The 12,352-nt window shown below is 39.0% G+C and overlaps 1 long non-coding RNA gene across 5 annotated transcripts in view; it reads right to left on the bottom strand.

The window, feature by feature from the left end:
* The window catches only part of LOC105375861 (uncharacterized), a 69,653-nt gene extending 58,995 nt beyond the window's left edge, over positions 1-10,658 (bottom strand). For all 5 annotated transcript variants that reach the window (XR_001745714.3, XR_007060918.1, XR_002956710.2 and 2 more), the window contains exons 1-2: positions 10,529-10,658; positions 7,847-7,940 (exon numbers count right to left, since the gene is read on the bottom strand). This is a non-coding gene — a long non-coding RNA (uncharacterized LOC105375861). The remainder of the gene's footprint in view (positions 1-7,846; positions 7,941-10,528) is intronic.
* Between the last annotated feature and the right edge of the window lie 1,694 nt (positions 10,659-12,352).

Here is a 12,352-nt window from a genome sequence, read left to right as displayed (position 1 = left end):
TGTTCTGAGGATTAGAATACAAATGATCATTTACAAATTGAAGGTTAACACAGAAATGCATTGTACTTGTGATTTGATGAGTAAAAACAAGTCACAAAATAAGAACAAATAGCAGCATTATTCCATGGGAAAGATCCTTCTGTATTGATCTATTATTTCCCAGCTTGAAATGTGGCCCTATTGTAGTTCCACTTGATTATGAGTCTTTTTTATCACTTCCCCTGGTTGATTCAACTTGAGTGCTTCTGACATTTGCAAAGTTCCTCACATATTCTGCTGAGCAGCAGGGGAAACCTTGCTAATGAAGAAATAACAAGCTGAAGATTTGAATAAATATTTAGCTGATTGAAAGGAGGTATACAGTTAATTTTTAAAAATGCTGACAACTGAGGAAACTCACTGACATGCTTTGCTTATCTTAGCTAAAATGGGTTCTAGTGGAGTTTTTACTGCACCACAGGGCACTTTCATTTCCTGATTCTATTATAAACTAAGTGGCCACCTGAACCTGCCAATGAACTTGTTCTATTGTGTTTTTCTATTTTTAATCCTGAAAGTAAACACATTTCTCATCAGATGTGTTACAGACTGCCATACATTGGAGAGATTTATGAAGGTGCCATTGGGTTATTACAGAACCATTCATTTATAAATAAGTGCCCATTCTGAAAGGAAACTATAAATGATAGCAGCATTTCCATCATTTCACAAATCTATATTATAAAAGTGTGTAGGCACTTTTTCAATATTACAGTGGCATGGAAACAATTTGGAATTTATGCCTTTTTAGGCTGTGTTTTCAGTCCTTATATATGATTAAAGTTCTGGTCTCATAAGCTAGAAGATGTTTTATGTGACTCCCAGCAGCAGCTGTAGGAAGGAACATAATGGCTCCTTTAGGATTCAAGGATTAATTATATGAGCGCTGTGAGCCTGTCTGGCTGCTTAAGGAATGGTTGTTGGTGGATCTGGAATGCCAGTGGAAATCCCTAAGTTTTCTTCCATCATGTCCTGGTAGGTTGTGTCCCCAGGGATAGCATCGCCTGTGTTTTACCAAGATGTGTACCTGTGCTTTCAGAGCATTTTAAGGCATGTGATCTAGTGTCGTGCACTGACAGTATTTAAAATGTCTTCCAAAAAATACCAAATACCAAAATCTTTGAAAAATACTCTTCCTCAAATAAATGTATGAAGAGTGAAAATGGGGAAGAAACAAGTACATTTGGACATGGATTTTACTTAGTACAGGCTTGGTGTCAGGAGAGGTAAATCCTAACACGTTAGGGTTGGAAGGGAAATGTAGCAGTCAGGTACTCTAACAACCCTCAGAGATGCTTGAATCCCCCTTCAAATACCCTGGAAAAAGCTCCAGTTAAATAAGTGATCCCAAGCACAAGGGCAGATATCTGATTGTCAAAGAAGCCTGCACAATCTTTGCACGGCCATATTTGTTGGAAAGTCCTTCTTCATGTCGAGCTAAAATTTGCCTCCTCTCACTTCTGCCGCAGTCCTGGTTCTGCCTTTTGGGCACGGTAAAACCAGGTATGCTCTGATTTTGTGCATTACCCCTCCTAACACTTGGAAGCAGTGGTGGTGCTCCTCATTTGCATGATCAATGTCTTCTAACTTTATCCTCATGAAAATCATTGGGGCAGAGTAAGATGCAGACGGTTTTTCCAGAGCATTAGATTCAGTAGATCCATGTTAGAGTTCAGAAATCTACCTATGTGCTACTCCCAGAAAATATAGATTTGGAAATCTTCCCATTTCCTACATTCGGGGACTGAATTCAATGTAATCTATTTTACAAATGAGGAAACAGACAGAGAGAAAGAGGAATGTGCCCACGGTCCCATTGCTAATAAGTGGCAGAGCTAGGATTTAAACTTCAGAACTTAACCAGTGGCTTTCACTGCTACCAGTATAAGAAGGGAAGTAAGACAGTGGTAAATAGTAATGTATATTGAATTATAGAATGACTTTGGACTGAATCTACCAGACGTGTGTGAATAGGAGTAATATCGTAACAGCAATTCTTTGCTCTACTGAATATTTGTGTCCATTGTAGTGCCTACTAAGGTAGCATTTACCAAACTTTAAAAATACACAAATTCCACAAGATTTTAATAATTTTTGATAAAGATAAATATAAAAACAAAGAGGGGGGTTAGTCTTTAAATACATTTATGGAATAGCAGGTTAAAAAAGTTAAACATTTTTCTTACTTGTGCCACTTATCAGAGCCTTCAATATACTAATATCAGTTTTTACACTCAAAGAAATAATATATTATGTGGGATTCTCAAACTTATTTGAAAACTGGGCCTTCCTTTCTTCTTTCCTCCCCTCTCTCCTTCCCTCCCACTTTCCTTCCTTCTTTCTTCCTTCCTTCCTTCCTTCCTTCCTTCCTTCCTTCCTTCCTTCCTTCCTTCCTTCCTCCTTCCCTCCCTCCTTCCCTTCCCTTCCCTCCCTTCCCCTCCCCTCCCTTCCCCTCCCCTCCCCTCCCTTCATCTCCAACAACCTCCCCTCCCCTCCAACAACCTCCCCTCCCCTCCAACAATCTCCTCTCCCCTCCAACAACCTCTTCTCCCCTCCAACAAGCAAAACACAAATGTTTATTGAGCACTTACCATGAGCACCAGTTCAGTATTTACTCTCCTTTTCCCCAAATTGGCAACATCTTAAGGATAAATTATTATTTGAACAAATGAAAGAAGATTTTCTCTATTTGAAAGGAGTTGGGGGAGTTCTACCTGATTTTCTCTTGACTCTGTGGCTTCTTATTTAGCTCTGAGAACTCTCTAGCATTTTTCTGAGTAAACTGTAAACGTTATTGATCATTCCAACCCAACATGTTGAGTATGAGGTAATGGCAAACCTTTCCAGTGTGAGATGTTTTGTTATGAGTTGTAAATAAACAAATTGAATGCCTAAAATGGTTCACGTGATCTTAAATGTGGAGCCACTTACTGGCTCTTCATGTAATGAATGTTACAATTCAATAAATACATTTCTTGAGAGATCCTTGTGTAGCAATGGTTTCAAGAACTGGCATTTTGATATTGACACTTGAGATATCTAATATTTTAAAAAACAAAACTCTCCTCCATATGATAAACAAAACTCCCCCAGTTTTGGTCAATTGACCAACTATTTCTCCATCCTCATCTAATGAAACAATCCCAGGCTGTAATACAGTGAAGGATATTTTGCCATGGGAGGAAGAAAAATCATCTGAGAAAAAAAATTGTATTATCTTTATGAAAGCTGAATTTTGAGAATTTGGGTTACAAGATTCTTATAAGAAAATTCTATTTATATAATTCACTTACTGAATTTCTAACTGTGTATTTGCTACATTAATGCATGAATAATAATATACACTCTTCCTGAAGAGTTTTATTAGGTGCCCCTTCCCCCTTTTTGTTTCTAACTCACTGAAAGCTCAGGAATAATGCAGCATATATCAGTTCCATTTGCAGAGTGTATGAATTTTATATGTAAATGAATTGTGTAGACTGCCTTAGAGGATGCAAGGCCTTGCTGTCTAGTTTTAATCTTGATGCTGGGAAATAAATTTGGAATTGTTGATGGGTACTGTTCTTGGGTTCAATTATTAGCAGACATTAACTGAAGTACAGAAGCATCATTTGGGTATAGCAACCTGTTAGCCATGGGGATTATCAGATTAAAAATGGAAGAGCACTAATTACTGAATCAACATTATGTGTCGATAGTGCTTTCTGGGTCATGCATAATAAGTAGAAATATTATCTTGGATGAAAAATTTCTGGCTTTTTGCAACACAAAATGTTGAGAACAAGTTTTGACTTTTGTTCTTAATCCTGTTCATAATCTTTTCAGCAAAAATAATGTTAGATCAGTGTTTTTCTGATTTTATTAAGAGGCAATGTTGCTGTAATTGAATGAAACTGAGTCAGTTCTTAAAATACAGATGTTTGTAGAACAGAGAAGGACAATTCATTAGCTCCAGTGGAAATATCCGTTGAGAATATCCAGCTTCCCTTCCTCCAAATTTGTGTTCGTAAAGCAACCTCTGCTTTATAATTTGTTTTCCTGGGGGATTTATGCACCATGATTGAGTTTGCCGATAGGCTCCATTCATGCACCAGGTAGGTCTTTCTGCACACTTGAATTTACATCTGGTTAAGTTATCTTTTGTAAGTTTACTTAGCCTTAGTTTTCCTTTTTAGCTTGCCAATACTGGGTGCCCTTAAAATTTGAGTTTTGGGCCCTGCAATCCTGAGGCCAGAGCCTGGAACTGTGCCCTTCTATGCAGAGTAAAATACCGTGGGCAGTAGAAGCCAGATGGTCCATTTTTATGACATTTTACAAGTTGTGTCAGTGCCATTTGTCTTGCCTATGATTTACTGATAAAAGAAGTATAGATTTATAATATTTTTAACGTAAATTGAACTAGGGAGTTTTCTGATTCCTTGTGCTTGCAGAGCTGTGAACCCTATGGTGGCCTGTCCATTGCTGGCCTTGTCTCCTGGAATTTAGGCTTGCATGCAGTTTTTTTCCACATCAGATGGCTGTGGCTGAGTCACTTGACTTGTTCTGGCCAATGGATTACTAGCAAGTGTGATTCATGCAGCAGATGCAGCAGCCTTATTAACAGTTGAACAACAGGGCTATCTTTCAGAAGTCAGTTGCCTGTATGGAATGTAGGGAAGCTAGTGCTAGATTTCAATAGTGATAGGACACATGGAGGAAGGGCCCTAGAGCATGAGAGGCCATTCTGGAAATTCCAGCCCTAGTCCCAGCTGAACATAGATACATGGGAGACTCCATCTCCATCCTGTGAAGTAGAAGATAAATGCAGAAGAATGGCTCATCTGAGTGTAATGAACTCATGGAACTGTGATAAATAATAAAACATTATTATTTTACACTAGTATGTTTTGATGGGTGGTTTGTTACACAGCAGTTGGTAAATGAAATGATTCTTTTGCCATAGTTATGGATTCCTTTACAAATGTATTCAATAGAAAAATGTTAGATACAAGATGTATTGAATATCAAAAGGAAATAATATCTGATTTCAGGGGCTAGCATAGTGAGTAGTACTTATCCAAGGTCCCTTGCGCCCATTTTATTGTGTTTGTTCTATACAAGAGTGGTATTACACTGCCATCTGGTGGTAAAGACTAAATGTTCTGGACGTTTCCTGGAATCTGGTGCATTTATCCAGTAGCATTTGTGAAATTGTTAAAATACAAAAACGCACACATGAGCACAAAAGACTCCAGAGAACCTAAACTAACAAGAAAAAACCTTTCATGTAACCTTTCATGAGGTGAAAATGATGAAATTTGCTCAAGTATATGCACGGCACAAGCATTCTTTGCTGTGGTCAGTTGCTCTTACTTCCTAATCACTCTGGAACATATTGTGGACTCTAGAGAAATATTGTGCTAGGGAAAGCCCGTTGTGTTTCTTCTCCTCCTTTCTACTTGTCTCCTTCTTTCAACTAAGAGAGGACATGATACTCAGAAGTGAAAATTTTCTTCCTTCTTCTTTCTTCAGCAAATGAGTATGACTTTGTGAGATGTTCCTCAGTACCACACTGAGACGTGATTAACCTTTTTGATGTGGACAGAGACTGCTGTGAGTGGGGTGGGAAGTGGGTAGGCGGTGGAAAATGAGAGTTTTCAGGTGTTGATTTCATTTGGTATTGCCATTGTTCTTTTATAGTCATTAGCAGGAAACTGTACTATCAGGAAACAAGGCAAGGACAGTTGCAGCTAAATGACTCAGCAAGCATGACCACCTGGCCTGGCTTCCCGACGCTGTTATGAGCTCCATCCAGTAGTAACAGAGCTCATTGAGGTTTAGATCTAGGGCTCTGCCATTGGGAATACCCTTTCTTCTTCAAGATAGATTAAAGGAGAAACTCACATACTGTTTAGGCTCAAAAACATGTACTGTATAAGAACCACAAATTTTTTCCTAGAGATAATGTTGTGTCAAAGAAAAATAAATATATTTTTGTTGTATATTTACCACTAAGATACATGAGCACAACACTTATTATCATAAGTAATGGGTACATATATGTGTTCATGTTAAGTCTAGAAAAGAAAAAAAAAACTTTCTTCCAAGTAAAATGATTTTATCTGAACTTATGATGTTGAAGGAAACACAGTACTCATTTTCTCTTTTCAAGTTGAAGTAAATTTCTCTTAACATAATATGTATTGCAATAATAGCATCTAGTTAAGATTTCATTATGACATTTCAGTTCAATATAATACACAATCTCTGCCATGTTTTTATAAAACATTACTCGGTATGAGATATTCACATTAACTACAATTGCTGAAATGACTGATGTTTAAATCTAATGACAGTTTCTATCATTATTAAACTTCATTATAAAATAAAGTCTGTGGGTGGAATTGTGGCTTGATGCTTTTGTAATTTGCTCTCTACCTTTTCAATGTACTTTTCAGTTACATCAACTGAATCATTTCATCTTATAGATGCAAAGATGAAGGAAAAGAACAAAAACATGGCCATTAACGGAAGCAGTGCAAATGTGCATAGTTAATGGAAACCATTTTGACATTTTGTATTTGATTCCATGGTGTACCTACTCAAACAATTTCAATGGTGTATTAGAACAAAATGCTACATTGTGCTCTTCACTAAGAATGCGAGTAATAGACTTCAAAAATTACCTTTTCACTGAAAGTATTATCTGCTGGAAATGAAGAAATGTTTTACATTATGAGAGGCTAATAGCAGCAAGAAGGAGCGAGGGGCTGGCAGGATAATTCAGGCAGGGGAGGGACTTGACTCTTTACTCTCCAAAATGCATTCTTCCAGTGTGCAAAGCACAATAACAATATTCCCCTTCAATATTTTGGGTTCTAATAATACAGACTCTAGTTTTCTACATCTTCTGACTGCGTTGTTACTAATCCGAGTGCAGGCTTATATCCTAGTTATGAAGGAATCAAGATCTCTATTTATCACGGGATCAAAGTGTAAGGCATAATAACTGCTTTTGAATATGTTATTTTTGATTATGGGAGAAAAAATTTCCTCTCTAAAAATACATGAAGAGTTAAAAAAAATCTGAACATAGGAAAAATAACTACTTGGTCCCCATTGCCCATGCTAATAGGCAGCTCATTTATTGGGGGAGTAAATGCAGGTCCCATGGATTCTGCTAAAGATGTGGTTGATTAGGAGCACTCTGATGTAGGTCAGGAAAGAGGATGCCTACGCATTTGAGGAAGTAGTCCCACTGGTGGGAGGTGTATGCACCTTCTATACCATTCATTAAAGTACTTTCACATAGAAATTTCTTATTTGATTGTCATAACAACTCTGTGAAGCAAGCATTATTTCCTTCATTTTTCTCACATGAAAACTGAGGCTCAAAGACATTATGTAATTTGCACAAGTTCACACGTCCAATAAGATACATAACCAGGAAATGAACCCCGCTCTTGATTCTGTTCGGGGAAAATGTGGAGGTGGGGAGAAAAAAGGGAAAACAAATCAGTTTTACAAGACAGAGTGTAAGAAAACTTTTGCTGGGACTGAGCAGGTTTAATTGTGTAGGTTGACACTGACTCAAAGGCAGAAGCAAGGATGATAGAAGAGAAGACAATGAATGATACAACCTGAAGTTGATTTTGTTTGCAGCAGTCTAAATACTATAAATTAACCAGGTAATAAGTGACTTGGTATTTGATAGCATGTTCTAACAGAAAGAAATATCAAGATCTGGCCTCCCTTGCACCCGCTCCTCAGCTGACTGCACTGGTGTGATCAAGTCACTTCCCACCATGGGCAAAAGCCCAATGCTCACCTCAGGGAGTCTCTGCCCTGATGCCTTGGTAATCTCATGGAGAAGAGGCAAGCAGAATCTGAGTCAGAGCTACCGGAAACCCAAAGACTTACTTCTGTAAAAGAGGAAAGGATGATATGCTTTGCGGAGAAAAGACAAAGGAGGGAAACCCCATGGCAACATCTTTTTTACTACTTTCTATGTTTTTTCTTGCAATTCAGCTGCAGCCCAAATTTCCGGTCCTTGGTCCATTGTGAGTGCCAAATGGACACCAGCAGTTCAGTGTGTCTCACAGTTGTGTAGCTCAAGATGGGGCCTACTGTGAACATGCACCCTTTTCATTGCTTGTCTTGTAGTTATAGATTGTTTGGAAGCTGACAAGTGATGCAGGGGAAAATAAGAGGTCTGAATACTAAAAAAATCAATTTTTGTGTTATCTGAGAGAAGCAAAATGATAAATGTCTACAAAAGCCTTAGGTGCCAGAAAAACAGTTTTATATGAAAATAAAAATGAGTCAATTCACTGGTTGTATCTCTCTTAAACATAAAGCAAAGAAGCAATAGTATTAGCTTGTTTTAAAGTCCAAATCTTATTGTCCCGGCCGATTCTTAGGAGGACTGAAACATTGTTATGCATGTGCTGTGTGTGTGTGTGTGTTGTGGGGAAGAGGTGTATAGTGTGAAACTTTTTCTTTTACACTGGCTTCTTTCTTAGTATGGCAAACTTTAGAGCAGTCATCTGCCCCCTTAACATTGGTGACCAGCACACGATAGTAAGAATTTTTTGTACTCAGAATTTTTTATACAACACTGGTTGTATACACCAACCAGTGAGATTCCTTTTTTATCTTCATTTTAGATTAAATATATCAACAACGGGTATGCTTCTGTTAACTTAGATGACATAGTGTTATTTCCTGAGCTGTAACTCATCTCTGCAGATTCTGCTTTTAAATGGGACATTCCTTCAATCCTGAAGTAAAGCCACATCTGCAGAGAGAGCAGGCTCTAGTTTCTCTGTGAAGAAGCAATCGCTGTAGTCTCTGATTGAGAAATTGTAAAGGACAATTCCCAATTAAGGGCATCTGCGGTCAGCTGAAGGGCCAGTGCTCCAGGGCAAGTTAGAGACCTGTCATTAACCTATTGAACAAGTGGCCTGTCACAGAAGGCATTGTGGAGTCTGGCACTTAGTTGGAACAGTACAGTGGTCCCGTCCTAGGAGAGTCAGCAAGTTACAAAGGACTGTGAGAGTTGTGACTTCATATGACCCATGTTAGCAAGGATATGTTGGGTGGGACGTGGAAATCTCATGCTCACGGTGGCCTTCAGAAGCTCAGTCCTGAGCACACTGCATAGAAGGTGAGGAGGCACAAATCAACACTAGACCCATGTGTTTAGTGAAGACTGAAGTCAGGCTTCCAGGATACTCAGGGGCTTGGCTCTTGTTGGCTTATGGTCAGAAAAACACTAAACCTCAAGCACCCCAATGGGGTTGGGGCAAGAAAAAGCTTGTGAAGTTCCTCAAGGACAACAGACTATGGGCAGTCAAAGCAGTTGATCCTTTTATAAAATGGGAGCCATGGAGATATAGAAGGCTCATGTGCCCCTGCAATTCTATCTTGAGAGTAGAGGATTGGTTGAGACAGTTTTTTCTGGAAGATTTTGTTTTTGTTGGGCACTGCTCACAAAGACAACAACCAGGTCTGCAGAGTGCTCTCTGCAGGAGCAATGTGGGTGCTGGCTCAGGTGTCCTAGGTAGAGGGCACAAGCTTTGCTCTCGATTATGTGTGGGCCATGGTGCCAGGTGAACAGGTGGGGAGGCTGAAACAAGTGTCCTATGTAAGCATTTGCTTCTTTGTGGAAGCAGACAATAATAGTTTTCATTATAATTGCTATTCAATAAATGTAAAAACATATATGCTTGCTCACATAAATACATTAGTGCAAAGAATGTGTGCCATTGTTCACCTACTACTTACATTTGGATATTTACCTATTAAGAAACTTCAGAGTTACCTAAAATGTAAAGCAGCATTTGTGAGCAACTTGAGTAAAATGTACTCTAAACAAAACGGCCATTGGATTTCAGGGAAGATTTCTGTCTAAAACTGCTTAGTTTTCACCAAATAGTACTTTAAAACATATACTGTTATTTAAGCCACTAAACCATGCCTTAAGTTCTAGGCATTTCCATTGGCAACTATATGCAATGAAGAAAAAAACCGCAAAAATGATCACCTGATGTGTGAATAGTGAAGGTAGACAATGGTGCCAGGTGGTGCCTGCGCGCATAATCACGAGAACAGTGTGTCAAAGCACAGCAATCAATAACAAAGAAAAATCAACACATATTCAGCATCGTCCTGATAGCGTTAAGCTGATTATCCACTTCAAGTAATTGAGGCAGGAAGATGAATGTGTTGAGCAGCCTTTATTTCTCTTTTGGAATTCAGAGCTAGGTATAAAGGTTAACTGGTGTCTTATATTGCTCATCATTCTCTACCTCAGCCACAGATTTCCAAAAAGAGAGAGATCTTTTCCAACGACTGACTAATGCCCACACAGTTTCTATCATCTTTAAACTATGCTGTCAGTGGAAAATGAGTAGTTTATGATTTTTTTCAATTGCATACACGTATGCATAAATACATACATAAACATACAGAAACATAGAGACACACGTACATATACACAAGTACATACCACTTATATCAATTAATGGCTTCAGGTGCATGGACTTCAGTTACATTAAACTTCAAACAGATCCTCTTAAAACAGACTCTCCTGTTTTACAGCTTATGCCTCTAAAGAGGAAGCCTGGTCTATGTGAACTGAGGGAACACTTCACCCATCCAGCTAAGAAATGGGCTTGCATGACTCCACAATGAGGAACTCTTCTAGGTCTCCATGGGAATTAGAGAATGCTTGTTCCCCTCAGCCTTTGAAGATGCATGGCCATCTTCCTTGGTGAAACATGCTCTTACTGAGTGCATCACTCCCATCATCATTGTGAAAGCTTGAAATCTCTCATGTTAGCTTAGGACCATTGCTGTTTCTTACCCTGTGGGTGAGCAGCCTTCGTGGACAGATCATTATAATTTCACTGTTGCAGCTTCCTCTGCATTAAATCTGAAGTCCTCAGCACATTTGACATCCCATAGAAACCTTACTCTTAAAGATTTTAATCTGACTCTTCTCTAATCCTCCATACCTATGTTAAGCTTCCACACCTTTGTACTCTACCCCTCTTTCAAGGGCCATTTTCAGTTCTACCTCTTCAATAGACCATTGCTCTAAGGAACACCAATGTCTTGTTGCTTTGAACCTCTCATAGTAATTCTTCTTCAGTACATGTTGGGCACAGTTTGTAAGGTTATAGTGTAGCCTCCAGAGTTAAGGGACTTGGGTTTGACTCCTTGTTCTTTCGCTGTCTTTGGGTGAGTTGTTTAATATGTCTAAGCTATGTTTCTCACCTCTGCAGGTCAGAGCAGTCATATTATCTCTCATCTAGGGAATATGTGGGAATTGAAGAATCAAATTCAGATAAAGTACCAAGTCCGGGTACATAATATGTGCTCCATAAAAACTAGCTTCTGTTTTTACTACATACACATCACAATTCTGTATCACATATATTTCCTTATACATATGTGCTTTATCCAGTGTGTGTCCTCAAGGAGGAGCCCAGATGTACACATGTTATGAGGTCAGACATGACCAGGCTTATTTAGAGGGATTTGGGGGCAGCACCCCAAACGTCTATTTTCATGAGGATTCTAAGAGACTTAAGGAAAGAAATGTGCTTTTGAGGGGTGAAAGTCCAGGGGAAAAACCTGGCCAAAAAGGCATATTGAAATACAGCTTTTTGTATTTTTCTCAAATGTTTCTTTGGCCTAGATCCCCAAGGTTTTTTCTGAAGACTTGAGATAAATGGGTTCCAAAGTTTAGCTTATAAAATACTAGGCAATTCAAACTGAAATCAAATGTCTACCTGATTTTGTGCTTAGGCTGCAGACTGATACTATTCCACCTATTTTACTGAAGTAACTACTGAGGCATTCATGGCATGGGTAGAGCAAAGAGGATTCCCCATGGCATATAGTCATCCATAAGAAGAGGGGAAGTCTGCGGTCATCTCTGTGACCCAGGTACTTTTATGCTGGGCTGAAATTTCTACACTGTGGCAACAGCAGACCTTAGAGAATCGAATGGAATTCATGTGGCTGTAGTGAGCACAAATGGGAAGCATACCACATGGTGTGCAGAATAGCTAGATTTGCCAGCACACTTTTGATGCTACAGCAGAACCCGAGCATTTCCTTAATTAGTTGCACAAGTCTAAGTCAGGCGGGGATTGCCGTGCTCTGCAGAAGGAGGTTCATCTGGCACAGGGCTGCTATCGTATTGTTGCTGGATGGCCTGGCCTGGGCTTATGAGGCTTGAGGCAAAGTGGATTACACATTTTTCTCACAACTAGGTTTTGAATCCCTTGAGGACAGAGACTCACCCATCACTATTAGTCTGCTT

The sequence above is a fragment of the Homo sapiens genome, chromosome 8 (genome assembly GCF_000001405.40).
Source record: "Homo sapiens chromosome 8, GRCh38.p14 Primary Assembly".
In the NCBI taxonomy this organism is placed as follows: Eukaryota; Metazoa; Chordata; class Mammalia; order Primates; family Hominidae; genus Homo; species Homo sapiens.
Note: the sequence above shows the minus strand (reverse complement) of the source record. Positions and strands in the feature narration are given on the sequence as shown.